At 36.3% G+C, this 21,188-nt stretch overlaps 1 protein-coding gene across 2 annotated transcripts in view, besides 3 other annotated features; it reads right to left on the bottom strand.

Annotated features, from left to right (window-relative positions):
- B3GALT1 (beta-1,3-galactosyltransferase 1) overlaps positions 1 to 8,659 on the bottom strand; it is a 581,045-nt gene extending 572,386 nt beyond the window's left edge. For both annotated transcript variants that reach the window (XM_011512085.3, NM_020981.4), the window contains exon 1: positions 8,326 to 8,659. The gene's annotated coding sequence lies outside the window, so the exon portion shown is untranslated. The remainder of the gene's footprint in view (positions 1 to 8,325) is intronic.
- Positions 6,939 to 7,551: an enhancer, noted in NCBI's record as "H3K4me1 hESC enhancer chr2:168150619-168151231 (GRCh37/hg19 assembly coordinates)". NCBI's record gives its function as "activates a minimal SCP1, AML or CMV promoter by ChIP-STARR-seq in naive H9 embryonic stem cells {active_cell/tissue: H9 hESC(naive)}" and the evidence as "EXISTENCE:reporter gene assay evidence [ECO:0000049][PMID:30033119]".
- Positions 8,495 to 8,544: a silencer, noted in NCBI's record as "silent region_12070". NCBI's record gives its function as "represses an Ori minimal core promoter by ATAC-STARR-seq in GM12878 lymphoblastoid cells {active_cell/tissue: GM12878}" and the evidence as "EXISTENCE:reporter gene assay evidence [ECO:0000049][PMID:35858748]".
- Positions 8,780 to 9,393: an enhancer, noted in NCBI's record as "H3K27ac hESC enhancer chr2:168148777-168149390 (GRCh37/hg19 assembly coordinates)". NCBI's record gives its function as "activates a minimal SCP1, AML or CMV promoter by ChIP-STARR-seq in primed H9 embryonic stem cells {active_cell/tissue: H9 hESC(primed)}" and the evidence as "EXISTENCE:reporter gene assay evidence [ECO:0000049][PMID:30033119]".

Here is a 21,188-nt window from a genome sequence, read left to right as displayed (position 1 = left end):
AGAATCGCTTGAACCTGGGAGGCAGAGGTTGCAGTGAGCTGAGAGTGTGCCATTGCACTCCAGCCTGGATGACAGAACAAGACTCCATCTCAATAAATAAATAAACAAACAAACAAACATAAAGAATGTGGTCTTGGTAGGACTGGTAATCAAAGTGCCCAATGATCCACTGACTAAGGCATGGTCATGAAACCAAAGCTAGTAAAGTCACACTTTCTATTCTAGGAATTTGAGCCTGAAGCACACAGAAACATGATCAGAAAAAGTACTGATGCTGATTTAGCCCATCAGTGATGGTACCCAGAAAGGACTTCATCATTTCCTCTCATATTCTCTGCAGCCATTCTGTTTTCTCTCATTTTCTTTTGATTCTATAAGCTTCAAAATACCTTCCTTTGTTGTGGATCTTATTCCTTAATTTAGTCATGACTGATTTCTATAGCATGCAACTGAAGAATTCTGTAAACATCAATGAAGAATCTTACCAGAAGTTTAGGAGTATCTGTAGTCCATCTTGTTTTTCATTGCCTTGATCAACCTTTAGATAGGATACTTATAATTTTTAGTAGCCAATGATAATGCTTACTGTGCCCAACTTATATTCAATGCGCTCAGAATAAAATGATGAATATGAGCCTCTTTCTTCAAGAAGCTTTCAGTCCACTAAAGGAGATGAACATAAACTAGGAATTTCTATATTGAGAGAAGTCTTCTAATAGAAGAAGACACTGATGTTGAATGTACTTCCTCTATTTTCCATTTACTTGTAATTGTGGTATTTTTAACTTAAAGTTGTTAACTTTTATAAGGTAAAATCTTTTCCCCATTATGTTTCTGTTTATAGAGTCTTTATTTGCTCTTAGCTTGTCTTAGAGTTTATGTTTACCCTCCCTTCATCTGATATTTTAGAATGCAGTGTGAGGTAGGGAGTTTACATTTTTCACAAATAATTATTCAGTTTTCCCAGAACCATATATTAATCATTTTGTACTTCCCCACATATTTGTGATTATTTCATACTGTGCTTTATTTTTGCATATTTTAGAGTTTGCATCTGAGGTCATTTATTCTCTTCTGCATGTTTGTCTGCATGTTAATCATCACTCGTAATACCTTTAAATACTTGAAAGTGCAACTTCCCTTAATGCGTTCTTTATGTTAAAATCCTTTGCTGTTATAACCTACTTGTTATTGTAGATGAACTTTAGAATATCTGTACATTTTACAACAATCTCTTTGGAATTTAACTGTGATTGTCTGTATGTATATATGTGAATATATATATACATTTAGTATTACTCTTTTTCTCTACTTATTTACATTTATTAAAAATGTCCCTTAGGAAGCTTTTGAATTTTAATAGCTTCTGATTCCTGGCTTACAATGACATAAAATCAGGAGAAATTTTCAGGCAGCATTGAAATAACTCTTTATAACATTTAAAATATAAAGTTCAGCTGGGCACAGTGGCTCATGCCTGTAATCCCAGCACTTTGGGAGGCCAAGGCAGGCAAATCACCTGAGGTCAGGAATTCAAGATGAGCCTGGCCAACATGGTGAAACCCCGTATCTACTAAAAATACAAAAGAAATAGCCAGGCGTGGTGGCGGGAATCTGTAATCCCAGCTACTCGGGAGGCTGAGGCAGGAGAATTGCTTGAACCCGGGAGGAAGAGGTTGCAGTGAGCCGAGATGGCACCACTGCACTCCAGCCTGGGCAATAAGAGCGAAACTCCATCTCAAAATAAATAAAGAAATAAATAAAATATATAAAGTTAAAAAAAGAATATATGTTATATAAATTCCACATATATATATGTTTATAAATAATACATATATATGGAGAGAGAGAGAGACCAAGAGAGAAAGAAGGAACCAACAGAGGGGAAAAAATGACTATTTTTAGCTGCCTTCAATAATTTCAGGATCTGCCTATTTTGTATTTTAGTCAGCTAAAGATTATCTTTTATTTCTTTGCATAAAGGAAATTAGGCCAAAATAATAACTAAAATAATTTTATCAATGCAATCTATTATTTGTTAATTGTTGCTTATTTTAAAATACAGCACCTTTCCTGTTTATCATTAGCTGTGTTCACTCAAGAGAAATCAACATGCATTACTCATATTTTTCATCTAATTCCTCAAAAATTGGAATTCAAGCAATCAGTGATGCTATCACTATTTTATAAAAATAAAAACTAAAGTAGTGATGAACTGTGACACATACTCACAAGCCCTATGACTGGCATAGACAGATACAGAATTGAGGAGGCCTAACTATTAGTTCATATGCCCTATTCACAAAGCCATGGTGCATTTGTGAACATTTAGTATAATTCTTCTTGTCTAGTAGTATCTAAATTTACAACTAATTGTTTGCAAACAACCTCTACCTCTGGCAGTTGTTTTTGCCTGGGTGCTAGGGTCCTAGAAAAGTTACCCACATGACTTACTGTTCAGTGAGGAATTGATTCAGCCCTGATGTCATCTATATGTGTCTAGGAAACATCTCATAGCCAAAGACTAAACAAAACACTAAGTACAATTAAAACTAAGTGCAGTATATCAGTTATAAACCATCTCTTCTGTTTCAAATTAGTACTTTAGGAGAATGATATGTCTCTTCAAACCCCTGTGGAAGGTGTTTTCTGAGAGAATCTAGCAATAGGTTTGTTTTTTTCTTTTCTTTGAGAACCAAGAAAGAGGTTTTTAATTGTTTAAAATTCTCTCATTATCCATGCAAGTTATCCCTCTCTACCTAGTTTTTTTGTTTTTCTGTTGTTGCTCTTTTTAAAAAAAAAATGCAGTAGCTTTTAAATTTTCTTAAGCATTTTTTTCTCATTCTAGAACATTCAAGAAAAACAGTAACAAAAAACTGCACACAGTTTTGGTATTTTCTGGAGTCCCTGAAGTTCATCTGTCAATCACATTGAAATCCAAAGTGATTGACCTTGGGAAATAAAAGGTCCTGTAAGAAGAGGGAAATAAGAAATCCTATTTTAGCAATTCTATTCTATCCATTATATTCTATAAACTAAATTCTATAGAGTCTATAAATATATGTATATAGAGTATATACATCTGTATGCTATAGACATAAAGAATGAAGTAAATACAAATATTTTACTTGCAAAGTTACGTCCAGCCTTATAAATCTTAGATGACATCTCTAAATGTATCCCAATTTCTCATTTTCTTGGTCCCAACATAATATTAACACAATGTAATAGTATGTCAGATATTAAAATAATAAAATGCACAAACTAGTAGATGCAGTCATTTCTATTATTTATTTTACAAAATGTAGAACTGTTTAATGAGCAACTGGCAAAGTGTTAACTTATATACTTCATCGTTAACAAATAGTGTTTCTAGATCTTCTACCTCAAATGAACTGGCAATAAATATCAACTTCCTGGAGTAAAGTTCTTCCTTACACATAGAGGAAGTTGCAGAATCACCTGGGTTCTTCCCAGCTCTAAATACCTGATTTCTGCTTAGCTCTCATTAACAGTTTCATAATCAGCTGGAGTGTGCTAGATATGGTAACCATTTGTTGGTTTACTTGTGGTTTAAAAACATTGTTTTCCTAAAGTTTTGCATTTAGGCAGAAAGAAGAAAAACTAGGGCAAAAAAGATAAAGGCTTAAATGAGTGCTGAATGCATTCTTGAATCTGGAGAAATAAAATACTGAGTTGACAATATCAGAAAGTCTTTCTCCATCTCCTAAAACTGGGGTGGGTAGCAGCAATCTTGAAGGCTTTTCTTGAATGATGTACCCTGCACTATTGTCCTGTAATCATACGACCTGTGAATAAGTTGGCACTAATTCATTATGTGCTATAACTTCTTCGGAGTATAATTTCAGCTTCTGTCTAATATGAAAATATTGTTCGCAAACTGGTTTTTGAAAGTCAAGCTAGGTTCCATTCTTCATATGAGGATAAGTAATAATTCTGAGATGTAAGCTAAAGACCCCAAAGAAAGTAATGAAACAGAAGCACAGAAAGTGAAACTGGAATCATAATTGTACAGCTTTTTTTGCATAAAAGAATAGAACCTGGGATCTAGGTAAAATTTAGCAAAGTTTGATCTGTAATTGGACTGACTGCATACGCAAATCTATTTTTAATTAAAGACAAGCTTACTTGAAAATTGTTGTTTCAGCATTTCTTACTAGATGATCAGATCATGAGTCTTTTTATTTTTTTGATGCATAAACTTTAAGGAAACTTTGACCTCAAAACCTAGTTTTTTTTTTTTAATCAGTTTTTACAGAGGTACATAAATGTGATACCTTCAATGTGGAAGAGAAAGAAGAATTCTCATTACAAACATGCTTTTGAATCTTTCCTAACTACTAAAATTCACTCATCCCTTTTGAATGAAGTTCTGTAGATTTGACTTTGCACAGTCATAAATACTGTTATTTTGTTTAAATGTTGTTAATTTGGAACCATTACATTAAAAGATAATGTTGTCCTCTAGTTCCTCTGAAAATATTATAATTTGATTTTAAAGATATTTTAAAGGACAGATATCATATCATGTTATTGCTGAATAATCATCTTTAGATCTCTCTTTTTTGCCTTTAACCCTCACATATTACGCAGTGTTATTGTTCTCATACATAGCTTCAGGATCAATATGTATTAGTTTTCCATTCTTACATTAATTTGTGTAGGTATATATGAGTGGGGACATATAAGTTCAAGAGAAAATGAGATGGAAAGAGATTGGTCCATGAGATCTAGATCTTAGAATAAACAGGTTGGTAGGAGATAAATATTCTATATAAGTTATCACTATATTTTTATGATCTATTGCACCCCAATAGAATATAAACTGCAAAAGGGTGGGGATCTTTGTGTGATTTACTCATACAAGTATTCATTGAATTCATACAATAGTGTATGTATTCATTCACACAGTCAAAGCAAACAGAACAGTATTTTGCACATAGTAGGAACACAGTACAATTTGTTAAATGTTATTTGAATAAACCAGTATCATAATAATAGATTAGTAAAGAGAACGAGAATATTCCTTTATGATGCACATTCATCATTCAGAATAGATTAGTCAATTTGTTTCAAATGCAGCATGGCGAAATTCCTTCTGAGAACCTTTCTAGTATGCATGTGTTTTTGTGTGGTGAGAGAGAGCGAAAGAAAGAGACAGACTGAAAGAGACAAAGAAAAAATGAGAATGAACTTCTGATTTACTAACCAGTTGAAGTTTTTAATTCCCCTAACATTGTTAGTTTTAGAAAAAGAATGATTTCACTATTAATTAAAACAAATCGCTATAAACCTCACTTTCTTACCTATTCACGTACAAACACTAATCGTGACTATCTGACAAATTAAATAAGTTTTATTTCATAAAATAATTGTATCTATTAGCATTGCTATTCATATTGATGTGATCTTCTTAGAAAAGTTATCCGATGAGTATTAAAATTAAAATTTTGTACAAGTCAAGAAGTGAATTTAGTGGCCTAGGGTCTTCACAAGTTGACATTACTTGTATTACTAAAATTCATCTAGAATATATGGCAGTCTAAGCTCATGGGCTGCCCTGAAGCAAAACAAGTTAAAGCTTAAGTACATTCGCAGAAATGGTACAATTTGAACTGCTTGTATAAATTAAGTGGCTGGCACTACCCATTAGCTCCCTAAAGCCTGTGCCCACCCCCAACCCCAACTCTGCATCATTTGTTTATGCTTAAACATATTTCCTATGGCCTTATCCTAATATTTATGACCATTGACACAATTCTCTGTACTTGATTATATTTGTCCTACTCGTTTTAAAATTATCTAAAAAAAGATTTCCTCCAAGTAAAAGTTCCATACACACACACACACACACACACACACACACACACGTACACACACAACCTTAAAATGAGCACAAAGGCTCTTAATTCCATTTTAAGACTTGTGGCTTACTCCAATACATAATGCAGTGGATATATAAAATGTTACTTGATGTCAAGGTGAAAAAGCACTTTCTTAGCCAAGTCGTTAAAATTTTCCTTAGAAGTTCCATTTTTAGTACTGGCTGTTACTGATAGCTTAGTTTTAATTGAAGTTTATTTTAAAATTGTTAATTAATAAGTATAACACACTTTAATCCTATTTCCCCCATATTAACCTATGAGGAAAACAAAAAGTTTTACCAGCACATAGTATTGCATAAAAGAAACACAAAACTAACATAAACTGCTTAGCCTGTTTTAGTAACCTTAACAAAGTCCTGAAGGTTTCAATAACTAAAATATTGCAATATTAATCACCTGGAAGCAGGTAAATTTTGTATAGAACAACCACCACAAACTATATACTTTCTTTAATCATATCAGAAAACCACACTTTTAAGCCAGACATGATGAATGCTAAGAAGAAAATACTTAGCACCAATTTTTTACTAGTCCAAATGCAGTATGTGTGACTAAAATCATAATAAAAAAATCCATTTACAGCACAACAATTAAGTGATGAAAACCATGAGACCATCCTTGGACCCAAAACTAACATCACTACTAGTTTATCGTAAGTTATTCATCTGCTTTAAAATAACTTAGTTGTTAAATTGGGAGAAAATAGAATCTTTACAATGAAAAATAACTATCGAAAAATGCCTGACATATTTGGACAGCTCCCTCCTGATTTTCTATAGCATTTCTATTACGTGCCTTACTTTCATTTTCTCTGGTTTACCAAATCAGAAATGAGCCCAATCAAAGTGGTTTCTGCGGTTTGGTTTTGGGTATTTTTGTTGTGTTGTGATTTGTTTTGTTTTGGGACAAAAGATCCCTCTAGTGAAAGAGATTACGGAGCTACATAACAAGAAAAATGCTGTCCCCAGTTCAAGATCCGCCTCCCTGTATTGAGCCAATTTTTGTTTTACCAAAGCTGGCAGGCAGGGAGCTGATGTTCCACCTCCATTCCCTGCTGCAACCCCAACGCCAGTCAAGTACCGGAGCCTCGCCCCATCTGAGACAGTGGGGAGAGCTCCTTAGTATTGAGGTATTTCAAGAACTTTCCTAAGCAGATACTCCCACGGAGACAAGGAGCCACATAGAAAACAATCGCCAAGAGTAAGTTTGTGCGTCCTGAGCAGGGATGGAGAACCCACTGCACTGAACTACGGAGATTCGGATCTGGCCCAGTAGCACCATCCATTTGCAGCAGCGCAAAGAATTCGCCTTCTGCGGAAGGCTTTGCAGCACGGGTGGAACTCTCAACAGCTTTATCAAATAAGATAATCTAATATGAAACAAAAACGCTCTGGAGGCAGCTGGGTACCCTAACCTGGTTACTCTGCGTGGTTAACGTGTCCTAGGTCTGATGGACCAGACCCCAGCGGGCCTGAACTTTGTCGGAAAGCGGAGCCGCCAGGCATTTGGCAGCTGCCAGAGGCGCACCAGGCCGGGTCTCAACCTGGGAGGTCAGCGGGCCAAAGCGGCCTGGGGAGGCAGTGGCCCCACCTGGACGCCGGGCCGTCGGGCGTCGGAGCCCCGCTCTGCCTCCACCAAGCTGTCCCGCTGCGCCCTACGCCGCCACCAGGCAGGAGGAGCCGCTACCAGTACCTCAGAGTGGGACTCTCCATCCTCAAGTCTGCGCTCCAGAAAAGTGTAGCAAGCCTCCCACGCGGGGCTTCAGACACCTAAAAGTCGCCACTCCCCCAAGAGTAACCTCCACCCCCACCCCCACCCCCAACTTCTCTTTCCTCCTTTTCTTCAGCAATGTGGACCAACAGTTACTTTTCCCTCTCTTCCCTTCCCCTCCGAAGTCCCCGGGGCAAAGTGGGACTTTGGGGAGCCTCGTGGAACGCGCCTCTCCCCTGGCGCGCCAGGTCCACAGCTCCTTTTAATCACCGCAATAAAGTTCAATTTGCTCGGCTCTTTACGAGCCACGGTGGACTTTCCCGTGCGCTCCGTGCGTTCTACCTCCCGCCGAGCCAACAGCATCCTACTCACTCCAGCCCAGCTTGGGTCCTTGAAGGACGTCGGGCCACGCAGAGGGGACCCACTGTTCTCGCTGCAAAGTGCCCCAAGCCGCGCGCGCGCACACACGCATCCACATCCACACTCACACAATGCCATCCCCGCGCTGTCAAAGTCTGTGAGCGCGGAAGGGAGAACGCACCAGCTGGAGCCGCACGGGCGCGGGCAGTAGCACAGCCCAGCGTCGGGACACGCAGTCCGGGTCCCAACACCTTCGTCGGGATGCCCCGGCCACCACGCGCCTCGTAACCCCCAAAGACCACGCCAGCCGTCCCGGGGGCGTCGCGGGCGCTGCCGGACAGAACCTTACCCGCGGGGCGCGTGGTCTCCGGCCGCTGGGCTGGCGCGCGGGCCACAGGGACGCTGCAGCCAGGGTCCCGAAGATGCTGCTGCTCCGCTGCCGCTGCCCCGATCCCCGGCGCCAGCATCACTTCTCTGCCGCCCCCGCCTCCTCGTGCTCCGCTCTCTCGGCCGCCCCTCCCCGGCGGCCGCCTGCAAGACCGGCAGCGCCGGCGGCGCGGCGGGGTGGGCAGCAGCAGAGGCGGCGGCGGCGCCCGCGCGAGCTCGCCCAGCTGCACTAGCCGAGCAGCCGCGGCGGCAGCCGAAGCACCCGAGCCCGGCTGCGCTTCCCCGGCGATGGCTCTGGCCTCGGCGACTGACAACGCCCGGCAGCCAATCGCTGCCTCGCCCCGCTCGGCGGGGGGAGACCAATCAGAGCGGAAGGCCCAAGGTTTTCCTCCGCCTTTGCTCAGCGGGCTTGTTTCCGGGAGAGGCAGCGACGCTGCTGGGGTTTGGGATGGGGGAGGCGCGGGAGGGGCGCAGGATGGGGGACTCGTGGCCCCGGAGCCTTAGGTGAGGAGGGAAAGCCGGGCCCGCAGGGGTGGGCCTGGGGCGCTTTCTGACCGCCAGGAGCCCGCGGCTTGGCAGGAAAGGGCGCCGCGGGGTGACTTTGTCCCCAGAGCCTCGTCCCTGCGGTTCAGCGTCTTGGCATCGCTGGGGCGAGGGGGGAGCGGGGAGGGGTCGCGGGACCCGAGTACGAACGGCGCGGCTGGAGAGCGAATCCCAGGAGGTGGTCGCCGCCTTGAAGGAATCACGCGAACAGTCACCAGACAGCGCCCCCGTCCTTCTCCCTTTGGCAGCTGAAAAGAGTACTACTTCTTAGGCTTCGAACCACTCCTCATAGTAATCAGCCACGAAGTGTCCCCAGCTAGCAAAGAGGCACACGGAGAAATGTCGGAGTTGTAGGCAGAGTGGACCTTCCCCGTCTTCCCTCCAAATAAACGCCCCTCACCTCCCCACCCCAAACGCAACAAACAAACAAACAAAAAACCTTGAGAATGGGGAAAGATAATTTAAGCAGCCACCCTAATTGGTTGGCTTCCTTTTTTTCCTTTTTCTTTGGATAATCAAGTCTGAATGTTCTAATAGTTTTTTTTAATGTGTGTTTGACTCAAACACTAGCGAAGTAATGTTATTTAGCAATAAAAGAAAAAGAAAACAAAAGCCACAAAATGTTTTTCTGCACCACTCTCCCCTAAATTGTAATGATCTTCCCTTATGGAACATTTTTAGTTTCTTTAGTACAAATATGTCTGAATGGCTCAGAGTTCTACCAATAAGTTTATATTACAATGTTCTAGTAAAAAAAAAAAAAAAAGTTGTACATGAAGGTTGTAATAAGCTTGGGACCTTCCCAAAGTGACCCTCTGATAAATAGTCATACCCACCTCACAACGTTGTTGTGAGGGTCAAAAATCAAGTGTGTATATCAGCTACATAGTTGACAAATTGCTGGAATTCAATGTGTCTTAGCTATGATGCTGAAGCTCTTCTTGCTAATTGTATTTTTAAGGGATCCTTTTTGTTTGCAATAATAATCACCCTTTTCTTCACTTACCTTACTCTTTAAAAACTCCATATATCCTGTGATCACCAAAACAAACCCTGTCTAAATTTTATTAGCATTATGAGGAAAATTTGATTGCAAAATAGATGTGTATTGCCATCTTTTAGTACTATAGAAATTATGTGCATATCATCACTGTTTTTTCCAATTCTCTTATGCCTTCCTCCCCTTCAGTAATTTGACCAATGTAGTTTGGGAGCCAGATGATCTCTTCTTAAAAGAACTGGCTGTGCTAATAGATAAGTTCATTTTTTTAAAGGCTAAAAACAGAGAATATGGACCACACCACACTAGATTTTTAATCTAGAGAGGGGTTTTTGTTGTTGTTTTGTTTTCAGAAATTGTATATGTAGTTCTTTATTATTGTGCAATGACATAAAATCAGCACCCTAATTGACTATATGAGGTAATAAAGGGGAAAAATGAATAATAAAGGAATAAAAGAGTGAAGCTGAAATCTGGGAGAGAAAGAAAAATATATTTATTCAAAAATATATTTTATTCATGGGGAGGAGCTGATATTTGCAAAATGTAGAAATCTTAAAACTTAAATCTCAAAATCAAAATTAAAATGCAATGACAGTTTAGAAATATGCCTGATAAAAGGTAAGTTTTGAATGATTTTCCATTAAAAGCTAATTTTGACTTTAGAATGTTGTAAGCTATGTGGAAACTTGCAGAAATGTGCTTGCACAAGTATCAATATGATTTTTCTAACCATTCTCCCATGCCCTGCCAATTATGCTATTTTCCAGTATTTTATATCATCTTTCCATGTTATTCAATATTTTGCAACAGTTATCCTTGAAAATACATGGGTCCTATGTACCGTGTTTTTAGAGATTAAGACAATTAAATGACTATCCTACAGAAGCAAAAAAGCTAAAGAAAATCAACAGTCTGCATACAGATATAACACTAATATCTCATATCACTATTGCTACCATATCACTAATGCTGTATAAGCAGCTCTGAGAAAAAACACTTCATAATTAACAACGTACTAATGGTGAAAACCATGAAATATTTAAAATCAGTAAAGATGAAAAACCAAGACAAAATTTTTAAAGTATCTGAAAAGATTGCATGTTAAGTAGGTTTTCATGCATTATTATGAATTTCATGGGATATATTGGACAGAAAGTCCAGTGTTACTTAATTATATGACTGTTTAATAAGAAAATTTAATAACTTTTTTTGGCCTACGGATATGTCTGTTTTTCTCCTTGTGCAATGAGAGAATTCATTCCACTTGTTAATAGTGACAGAAATTGGCTTGGTCAGTACCAGCAATAATGGTCAATAATGATTGACCTAATCCTGAAAGTATGTAAAATAACTTCATATTAATTGATGTGGAAAATCTATATTTATTAGGAATAGGAACTGAATACTTCATTGGGATCCATTATGACAAAAGTTACATCTAGCAGGCAGAAAATTAAATAGGAAGTGAGAGAAATTGGTCTAGTTCCAGCTCTGGTTATGTCTGGGTGAGTAATCATAGGTCGGTCACTTAAACTTTCCCAGTATTCCTTATATGTAAAGTAGAGATTAAAAACAAAATAAAACCTATAGCTGCCTTTCTTAGAGATGAGGATTAACTTATAATTGAAACTACAAGCCACAATGGACTCTTGCAGAAAAGCCCTTCTTAAAAGGTGAAGAATTGGAATTTAATGATAAATACTACCCTCTCTCAAATGTGAATTAGTTTAATTCTTACAATGGCACTGTTCATTATGGATATGTAATATCTATTTCTAAAGATGAACATATTAAGTTTCAAAGAGTTCCTTTACCAATTTTAGGATAAATTGACTATCAGTTACACTTTATTTGTTGATGTTGCCCAGCTTAGAATGTTTTTCCTTTAGTTCCTTCACTATGCCACTTCCAATATTATTAAAATATGCAAGTTTAATGGTTGGCATCTTAATTTAAATGAAGGGCAGACTTTTATGTTTTATTATTGGATGTAAATTACACCTGAAATAAAGCCTATTTCCCTAAATAATATAACTTGTTAGATAATTTCAAATACAGAACACCTCAATTATCATATTTAAAAACTATAAAACTTCTATAAAATAAATATTTGTGCTCATATTATAAGATTGCTACATTAGGTTTTCTTTGCATTGAAAGATTGAAGCAAAATCAAAACGAGAAGACAAGAATGAAAACTAACAGAATAGATTAGATTCTACTAAGTTAATCATAACTAGCATTTTTAAAAATATTCTTTATACCAGGACCTGTGTGTACACACACATCTCACACACACACACACACACACACACAAATATAAGTAAAAGAAGAAAATCATTCATCAAAATTTTGTAGGAAACAGGACTCCAAACAGGCAAGTGTTCAAATTCCTAGCCCTGTACTCTTACCACCACAACATACTCTTTGCTACTGAGATTTGAGAGTTATCAATAAAGAGGAAATCATTGAAACTAAGATAATGTAAAATATTTTGAAGGAAAGAGTATAGTAGGGCAACAAGCCTAGAAGATCATTTATAATTAAGAAAAAGTAAGGATAGTGTTTATTTTGGAGCGGGGGCGAAATTTGATCTGAAAATCAACTCTTGACTGTAAGTATTGACAAGAGATGGTGAGAATGGGTGAGAAGATCTTTGGTTTCCTTTAAAAAGAATTGTGGTAGGGCGATTAGGGTGACAACCATTTGATCCACGCAGAATGGGGAAAGGATAATTCAAGTGGGATATTTACATTAGAAAAGAGTTACGTTTCTTTACGTTCAATATTTTAAAATGGAGGTAGAGTCATGATTTATGCAGAAGGCTGTATAAAAAACTTGAATTGACATAGTTTCATAAAGTCTTAAATTATTGACAGTCTTTATTACTGTTATGTTTAAAACAAAAGCATGTTTAAAGATATGCAATCCTTCATTTGAGTGTTTGTTTATAATGTTATAGAAATCAAGTCATTACCAAAATTGCGGAAAAGATACCTCTTTACCTCATTAGATTCCATTTTCAATTTTTATAATTTAAAATTTGGTCATTTGCTTGAGTAAGAAAATCCAACGTCTATTAATAATGAATTTTTTTTTCTTTAAGCTGTGATTACTTAACAGCAGCTACATATGACATTGGTGCAGCATGACATGGAAAAGTAGAAGGAAGGCATATGCTTGTGTGTGTGTGTGTGTGTGTGTGTGTGTGTCGGGGAAGGGGGAGTAAGGAAGAAGTGAGAGGCAAGAAGGAGTAAGGAAGGAGAAAAGGAGCAGAGTTTTCAAGTTATTTGTAAAGCATTCTCTATGGCTTCATTAGTCAATACTAGGTTCTGAAGCCACTTAAAGCATAGGACACTATAAAATTAATTTTAAAAAATTAATGACTCCTGTATTACCATAACAGAATGCTATTTAAGTGTCTAGCATAGTGATAAGAGCTCAATAAATGTTTGGTCAAGGAAAAATGAATGTATAAATGTTACATGGGGTTTTGTGGGGAAGAGCAGGGAGAAATGATGCTAAAAGTTGAAACCAAACTATAATATTTAACATGAATTTTTGCAATTATGACTATTTTAACTTTACATAAGTTGAATTCTAACAGTAATTTTATTTTCTATGGTATCCCAGGATTGTTGTCCAGATTACACAGGCAAGAGCGTTCTTCCCTTAGACTGAATCTTCACTTTCTTTTAGCGTCCCAGACCCTCACTCAGTCTGGCTTTTAACAAATTCTCCAGGTGTTCTAGGGTGATTAGGAAGTGAGCCTAGAGAATAATCCTACTTGCCTCGGGAGAAAACTGCTAATAAAAGGTCAAAGCTGAGTTCCTAGGGACTGGAGCTATGGAAGCTAATAGCACGAATCATCATTAGCTTTTACTGATGCCAAGTCATGCAAGTCTGTGAAGTTCATACAGAAAGAGAAATTTGGATCAATAGGACTTTATGCTACCATGCAGCTTGATAATTACTTTCTAGAAATTAAGTTTGCCAAGCTTTTTTTTCTTAAAAAAATCTTATCTGCTCCGAAAGTCTGCCTTAGTCTTTGTACCGTATGGAAGATAAACCTATAGTGTTTTCCTTTAGCAATTTCTTTTTTTGTTGTTTGTCATATTATTATGGAGGTTAGCTGCATGCATATTTTATATTCAGTAACCTTTGGTGTCTATTTAACAGTGGATCATATTTCATTACAGGATTGATATTTTAAATCCACTTCTCTAAATGTTATAACATCAAGTCGCCAAGAATATTTCAATACCTGTGATGTAGTCGGTTAGTACTGGCTGTTGACCTGGTGATGCTAGGGGGGCATAGGCTATGTTATTTAGTTGGTAAGTGAATCATGCAAGCCATTGTTGCTTCTGTTTTATTGCCTGCTGGCTACGCAGAGACCCAGTGAGCACCATAGAACACTTTCACATTCACAAGGAAAAATATAACAGACTTGCACATCTCCCTGTTGAAGTCCTTAAAGTAAAATGCTCAAAAAATATTTTATATACTTGCTATGTGAAGAATTTTTGACCCCTTAAATCAGAAAGTTGACAGCATGTTTATGAGCTTAATACCGTATAATGTACCAGTTATATTGCATGTAGACTCAAACGTGCCTAATTGCCTTTATCTGTTAACAGAAAGGATTTTTAGCAATTATTAGAAAAAGTGGATATGTTTTTTTAATGGTAGAAAAAAATTAATCTCCTTAATATTCATTTAATTATAAAATGAAAATACAGTTTCACACTTCACAATTTTTAAAAAATCTAGATTATGTGAACATTAAAGATCTTACAGTCCACATCTTTATGTCCAAGTTTTGCAATCCTTTCTGAAATTACTTACAATTCTGTTCCTTTATAGATTATTTTTATCTCCCAAGAGATGTGAATTCTTAATAATTTTATGTGAGTATCCGAATACAAAAACCGTTATTGTCTTTAATTTTTAAAAATTTAGTAATAATGGCTTCTATTTTTGTATTATTCAATGTTTTAGTTGAGATTTTTTATTTGTATATATCATATTCAGTTTTTTAAAATTATACTCAGCAGCTAAACCTATATAGTACTTGACTTGAGTACTTCATTCTTAGAAAAGCAGTTCTGATTATTATCAGGCACTGTTCGATTAAGACATTAATTATAAATATTTATAACAAGGGCATTACAAAACATGACTGCAGAGGGTAAGATAAGTCAGATTCCCAGCATGATATATTTTTAACATCTCTATTAGGCTTTAGGTACTAGAAATATGTTATATCGAATTAATGTTATTTTATATAAGAAAGATGACAATGTATTTTACTTTGCTTGTATTTATCTCCTTCAGCCTGCTTGGTCAGCTCTCAAGAGAGCCACTATCCTGTGATTTTTAAGTCTTTTATGTAATTATCCTTGAATAAATCCAGTACTAAGCCAACAGCACCCCCAGGTTTACATCCCACAGTCAAGTTTACCAAAGATGTTCTAACAGGGCTATCCATTAGATGTTACAGAAAATCTCAAGTGGTTGCAGCAAATTGGAAATCTCTTAATAGTACATTGAATCAGGTATTTTAATGTAACTAATTAATGTCTTTTTGGCCTTAAAAATTTTTATTTCTGGGAAGTGAATAGGAATCTTTGAAATCTAGAAGAAATGATTGCATTAGAGCTAGAAGATAACTTCCAACAGCTGATACTGGTACTGGACCATAGATCCTCTTTGTTGGGCTTTAGCTTTTGAAGGCAAGAACATCACAATTTTCTAGATTGTAACAGAGTAACTGAATTAGGCACAATTTCAGATTAGTCAAAAGAAGGAAATAAAATAACTAAAATATATGAAAGTACAGTTTTGTGCTTGACTTTTAATGAGAAATTAATGAAAATTAACCATTGGGTCATTAATGTGTTATGTCTATAGTCACTTAAGTGGAGTGATTAGTACAAATTGATACAAACACAGGTGAGCTATATATTTTTCGGGTTATCTAAACAATAAACATGTGATAGAGCTACAATAAGATGGATCCTGGTTTTGGTGATCAACTGAAAATACGTTTAACAGAAGCATGATTTAGATCATTTTGGAATACTCAACCTCAAAACCTCAACCATTCCATGCAAATTTTTATTTATATCAAATGAGTATTTACAGAGAAGTTTTAAAGTGTTTTGCTTTCTAGGCAATAGAATGAATTAAAAATGTAGGTTCTGGGGACAGATCAACCTGAGTTAAAATTCTAGGTCTACCTCTTATGAAATGTGAAATCTAGGCAAGTTTCTTATATCTTCATGTCTCTATTTCCTCACTTATGTAAATAAAGATAATAATAATATCTAGTTCTTAGAAGTACTTTCAAATTTAAATGAGATAATATGTACAAAGTACTTAGTTCAGTATCTGGAAGATTATTGTTCAGTATACATTAGGTTTGTAGATAAACACTATTATTATTATAGTAGCAGTAATTATAAAGTTGAGGTGGTTAACTTGCCTCAACTTCCATATAACCTTTCAAAGCTCAATGGAGTCTCAGACTTTTGTTCATATGTTTCCCGCTAAAGCAGATATGTTTCGTCATTGCAAGTAAATTTCATGGCTCATTTCTCCACCTTCTTTTTTCAAAAACTCTTTTCTAAAGTATTCATTAGTGTAGCTATCTTGCAACACATAAACTATAATATATCAAGGGTGTAACACAAGGGGATTTTTTAAAACTCATTCTTTTTCCATTAATATGAGGAGAAAGGACAAAGGGGTTTGCTCCACACAGTCATGTAGGCACTTTCATCTTCAACATATAATTTTCAAACTCATTCTGGAACTCAATATACTGATGAAAAAGGCATGCAAGAGCAAGAAGGATCATTTAGGTGTGACATGTGTCATTTACACGGACATTTTATTGGCCAGAATTCATAGACATGGCCACATCAACTGCAAGAGAATTTGGGGGTGACAGACTAGCTATGTACCCAGGAGGAAAGAGAAATGCTTTCAGTGAACAATTCCTCAGTTTCTGCTGTCCTTTTTCATTTCACTCAAGCCCTCTATGGTCAGAAACAAACCAGTTCCCAACAAGATACTGCATCTGGCTCAAAATCAAGATGTGCACATTATTATCTACCAGAATCTAATGTGCCTCTTCATTAACTATAAACTAAAAGACAAGTTATCTGACATGAATACTCAATGAACAATGGCATATAAAGTAGCAATTGAAAACTATCTTTTTAGAAAGGGTTATAATGGGATATACTAAGGAGATACTGGTGCATAGCAGTCAAGAAAACTTTACTGTGGACCTTGCGAAATTCCTGATCCTGGGTGAGGGGAAGTTCCTTAATGAGGCCCTGATTCTACTTTCTGGGAGGAACTCTTTTGTGCATATTTCTGTATGGCCCTGCTTCCACCTGCAGGAAGTTCTTCCTTGTAAATTATTCTCTATGATCCCATTTGAAGCTGGTGATGCTGCATATGTCTGTCCTGTTTTTGCAGACTTCTTCTTGCTGGTGCAGGTTTGGGAGCTTGATGGTTGTTTAAAACCTAAAGTGTCAAAGTTTTGTTGTTGTAGTTGTTTCAGAAGTGTGAGCTTCTAATTTCTTTGACGATACAACTTATCAAAAATGTAATAGGCTTTTATGCTGTTGTTTCCAGACAGTTGTGTTTGTTAGTATCCACTCTTGAAGTTTTCTTCTTAGACATAATCCTCAAGCCTTATTTATATGTTTTTATCCTTACCCTTCTGCCCTTAGCTTTCAACCCAATGGAAGGTTCCTTGAGGTCAACATAAATGAGTGGGGTAAACACATGTTTAAACTAATTTAGTGGACCAAGTTGCTCATTCTGTTTTTAAATTGTAATCCCTGATATGTGAAGACTAGAACCAGTATGACTTTTTTAACACTTTAACCTCCAATTTTTTGGACTTTCACTATTCTCTTTCATTACTGCTTGTAAACTGACCAATTCTTAACAGACTTCCTCTCTCTCTTTACAAATACCTTCCTAAATTTAGCTATTAACAAATAATGTACAGTATTATGATTGTGTTTTTCAACTTTTTCTCCTAATTCTAAATGCTCAGTGGGCACCTAAATTTTATTGCAGACAATTTTTCCAATTATTTTGCCTGTGCATCGTATTATTATTCTACATCTTTCCAACTCATAAGATTAATTTGCTTGCAGCCTGCTGCCCATTTTCTAAGCAGTGCTACCTATGTTAGGTTTTTGTTTTGTAGCCCCCCACTTCTGGTACTAATTTATGTGTTAGTCAGAAGAATACTAGCTGATCGTGATAGGTAAACTTAGAAATAGCATTAGTTCAATATAGTGGAAGTTTATTTCTTGAACTCATAAAATCTAATTGAGGGTAGGTAGTTGTTACCGTACTCAATCATTCAAGGATACAGGCTGATAGAAGCACATCTATCAGCTTGTATTATAAGATTTTAAAGATTATATAGGTGATTCTTATGGGCCAGGCCTGGAAATGATATATAGTAATGACCAGAATAACTAGAAAGTATGCTGAAAAATGAACTCCGGCTGTCCAGAAGGAAAGGAAAGTTGACTTGTTGATCAGCTTACTAGTTCTGTCTCACCAATTTATTTCAGTTCTTACTGATCTCTCATTATACTCATTATCATATCATATGAGGTTATTTTTTGTCACATACCAGGCACTATATTTATGTCTATTCTGCCTTATCTCCCACCCAAATGAGAAGTGTTTGTGTCAAATATATGACACACTTGGTTTGCATGATAATTATTTGTGTATGAGTAGCTGAGAAAGCTTCAGCTCTTCAATCAGTCAGTCCTTGGTTAAAAACCCAGCTCCATCACCTATTAGCTGTGTGATGTTGGATTACTTAACTTCTCAGAGCATTAGTCTTCTCATTTGTAAAATTAGGTTAATAATAGTTCCTTTGAAGGGAAACTGAGAAGATTAAACAGATAATGGCATAAGGCAAGGTATCTTTTTTGTTGGGTGCATATTACATACTAATTTACTTGATTAACATTACTGCAAATGAAAGACAGCTTGTGTACAAATTCTAGAACAGAACACTAAATGCAACCTTTTTATTAGTAATAAGCCTCCATGTCTTGATTATTACCAAGATACAAAGGACTCAAACAACCCAGAGTCTTGAACTTTCTTTTACATTTTATCTTTAAATTCAGGGATTCTATGATTCAAATTCACTTCCACACTACGCATTTTCTCTCTGGAGTCCATTCTTAGGTTTTAAAGCTTTTTATTTTATATTACAAAGAACTAGGCTATACTTTTAGTAGCATAACCAAAGACATGTTAACATTCTGATCAGTTTTCAACATTCACCTTGACATTGCAACAGTGATAGCAGAACAGAAATTAAATTAAAAAGAGATCATCAAAAATATAGAGAGAATATAATATAGGTTGAATTTTAAATAACATATTTATTCACTCATAAAAGAAATGTTTTTTGTACTTTCATGCCTAATAAACTTAGAAAACATTTCTTTCTCCCTTGTTTTTCTCTGTGTCTGAAAGTATTTTTTCTGCTTTTTGATACTATAAATGTATATTTATTAGCAAGAAATATGTTTAAAACATATTGTTAAGTGGAAACAGCAGGTTAAAAACAAACAAACTTGTTCCATGACAGTGAAAAATTGATAAGTTGAGCTTTATTGAAATTAAAAACCCTGCTTTGTGAAACACCCAGTAAAAAAGAATTAAAAAACAAGTCATAAACTGGGAGAAAATACATTCCAAACACATATCTGATAAATGCCTTGTATCCCAACTATGCAAAGAGCTCTTAAAACTCAACAATTAAAAAAAATTTAAAATGAACAGAAGAGCTGAAGAAACAAAAGATCTCACCAAAGAAGATAACTAGATAGCAAACAAGCACATGAAAATATGTTCAACATCGTATGTCATTAGGGAATTCAAATTAACACAACAACGAGATGCCACGACATACATATTAAATCCAAAATACTGACAATAGTTACTGCTGGTGAAGGTGCAGGGCAACAGGAACTCTCATTCATTACTGTTGGGAATGCAAAAGTAGTACAGTCACATTGGAAGGCAGCTGGGCAGTTTCTTACAAAGTTAAACGTAGTCTCACCGTATGATTTAACTGTTAGGCTCCTCAGTATCACCCCAACTGATTTGAAAGGTTATGTTTGCCCAAAATGTTTATGCCTTCATGCAAATGTTTATAGTAACTTTATTCATAATCAGAAAAACTGAAAGTGACCAAGATGTCTTTCAATAGGCAAATCAATAAACAAACTATAGTATATTCATACAATGGGATATCATTCAACAATGAAAAGTGAAAGTCATAAGCTAACAAGCTACACAAAGACATAGATGAATCTTAAAATACATACTGCTAAATGAAAGAAGCCAGTCTGCAAAGGTTATATACTGTGCTATTCCATTTGTATGACATTCAAGACAACACAAAACTACAGAGATAATAAACCAACAGTGATTTCCAGGAGTTCAAGTTGGAGTTAGTGTATGGCTGAAGCAGAATGGATTTCTTAAGACAGTGAAAATATTCTGCATGATACTACAATGGTGGTTACATGACATAGTGCATTTCTCAAATCTATAAATTTACAGCAGAAAGAGTGAAACAATATGTGCAAACCAAAAAGAAGTCATTTAAGATGTCAGCAGATCTCAGAATGCTTTCACTTATTTATATATTATATATGTATACAATATATAATAGGTAATATATAAGATATATATGAAAAATATATGAAAGTTATATTTATATATACTTATAGAAGATGTTTTATATAAATAAAACTACATATATATTACACATTTCAAATAAAACTACATAGTATATTAATATGATTTACAGTATGTATGTATACAATATATATTTTATATATATATTCTGTAAATAGCGGTGATTATCTCTTGATGATGGGATTACATTGATTTTCTATGAAAGTTATTTAAATTATATCAAAATAGGAGGAATGGGCACTATTATACAAATTCCAAACCATGGTGGAAGCACTTCTTGGCCGACACAACTTCTACCACTGAAAATTCTGGCTTGTGGAGACTACCCCAGCCCCACGAACATCCAAGCCTTTGACCACTCAGTGTGGCCTTCCTCACCAAGAAGACCAACACACTCAAAGTGAGTTTCCACCATTACAGCCACTGCACTCTTCACTCATTTCTGTCTACACTGTCAGAAGTTACAAAACAGGAAATGATTGATATGGTTTGGCAGTGTCACCACC

This window comes from Homo sapiens, chromosome 2, assembly GCF_000001405.40.
Source record: "Homo sapiens chromosome 2, GRCh38.p14 Primary Assembly".
Taxonomy (NCBI): Eukaryota; Metazoa; Chordata; class Mammalia; order Primates; family Hominidae; genus Homo; species Homo sapiens.
Note: the sequence above shows the minus strand (reverse complement) of the source record. Positions and strands in the feature narration are given on the sequence as shown.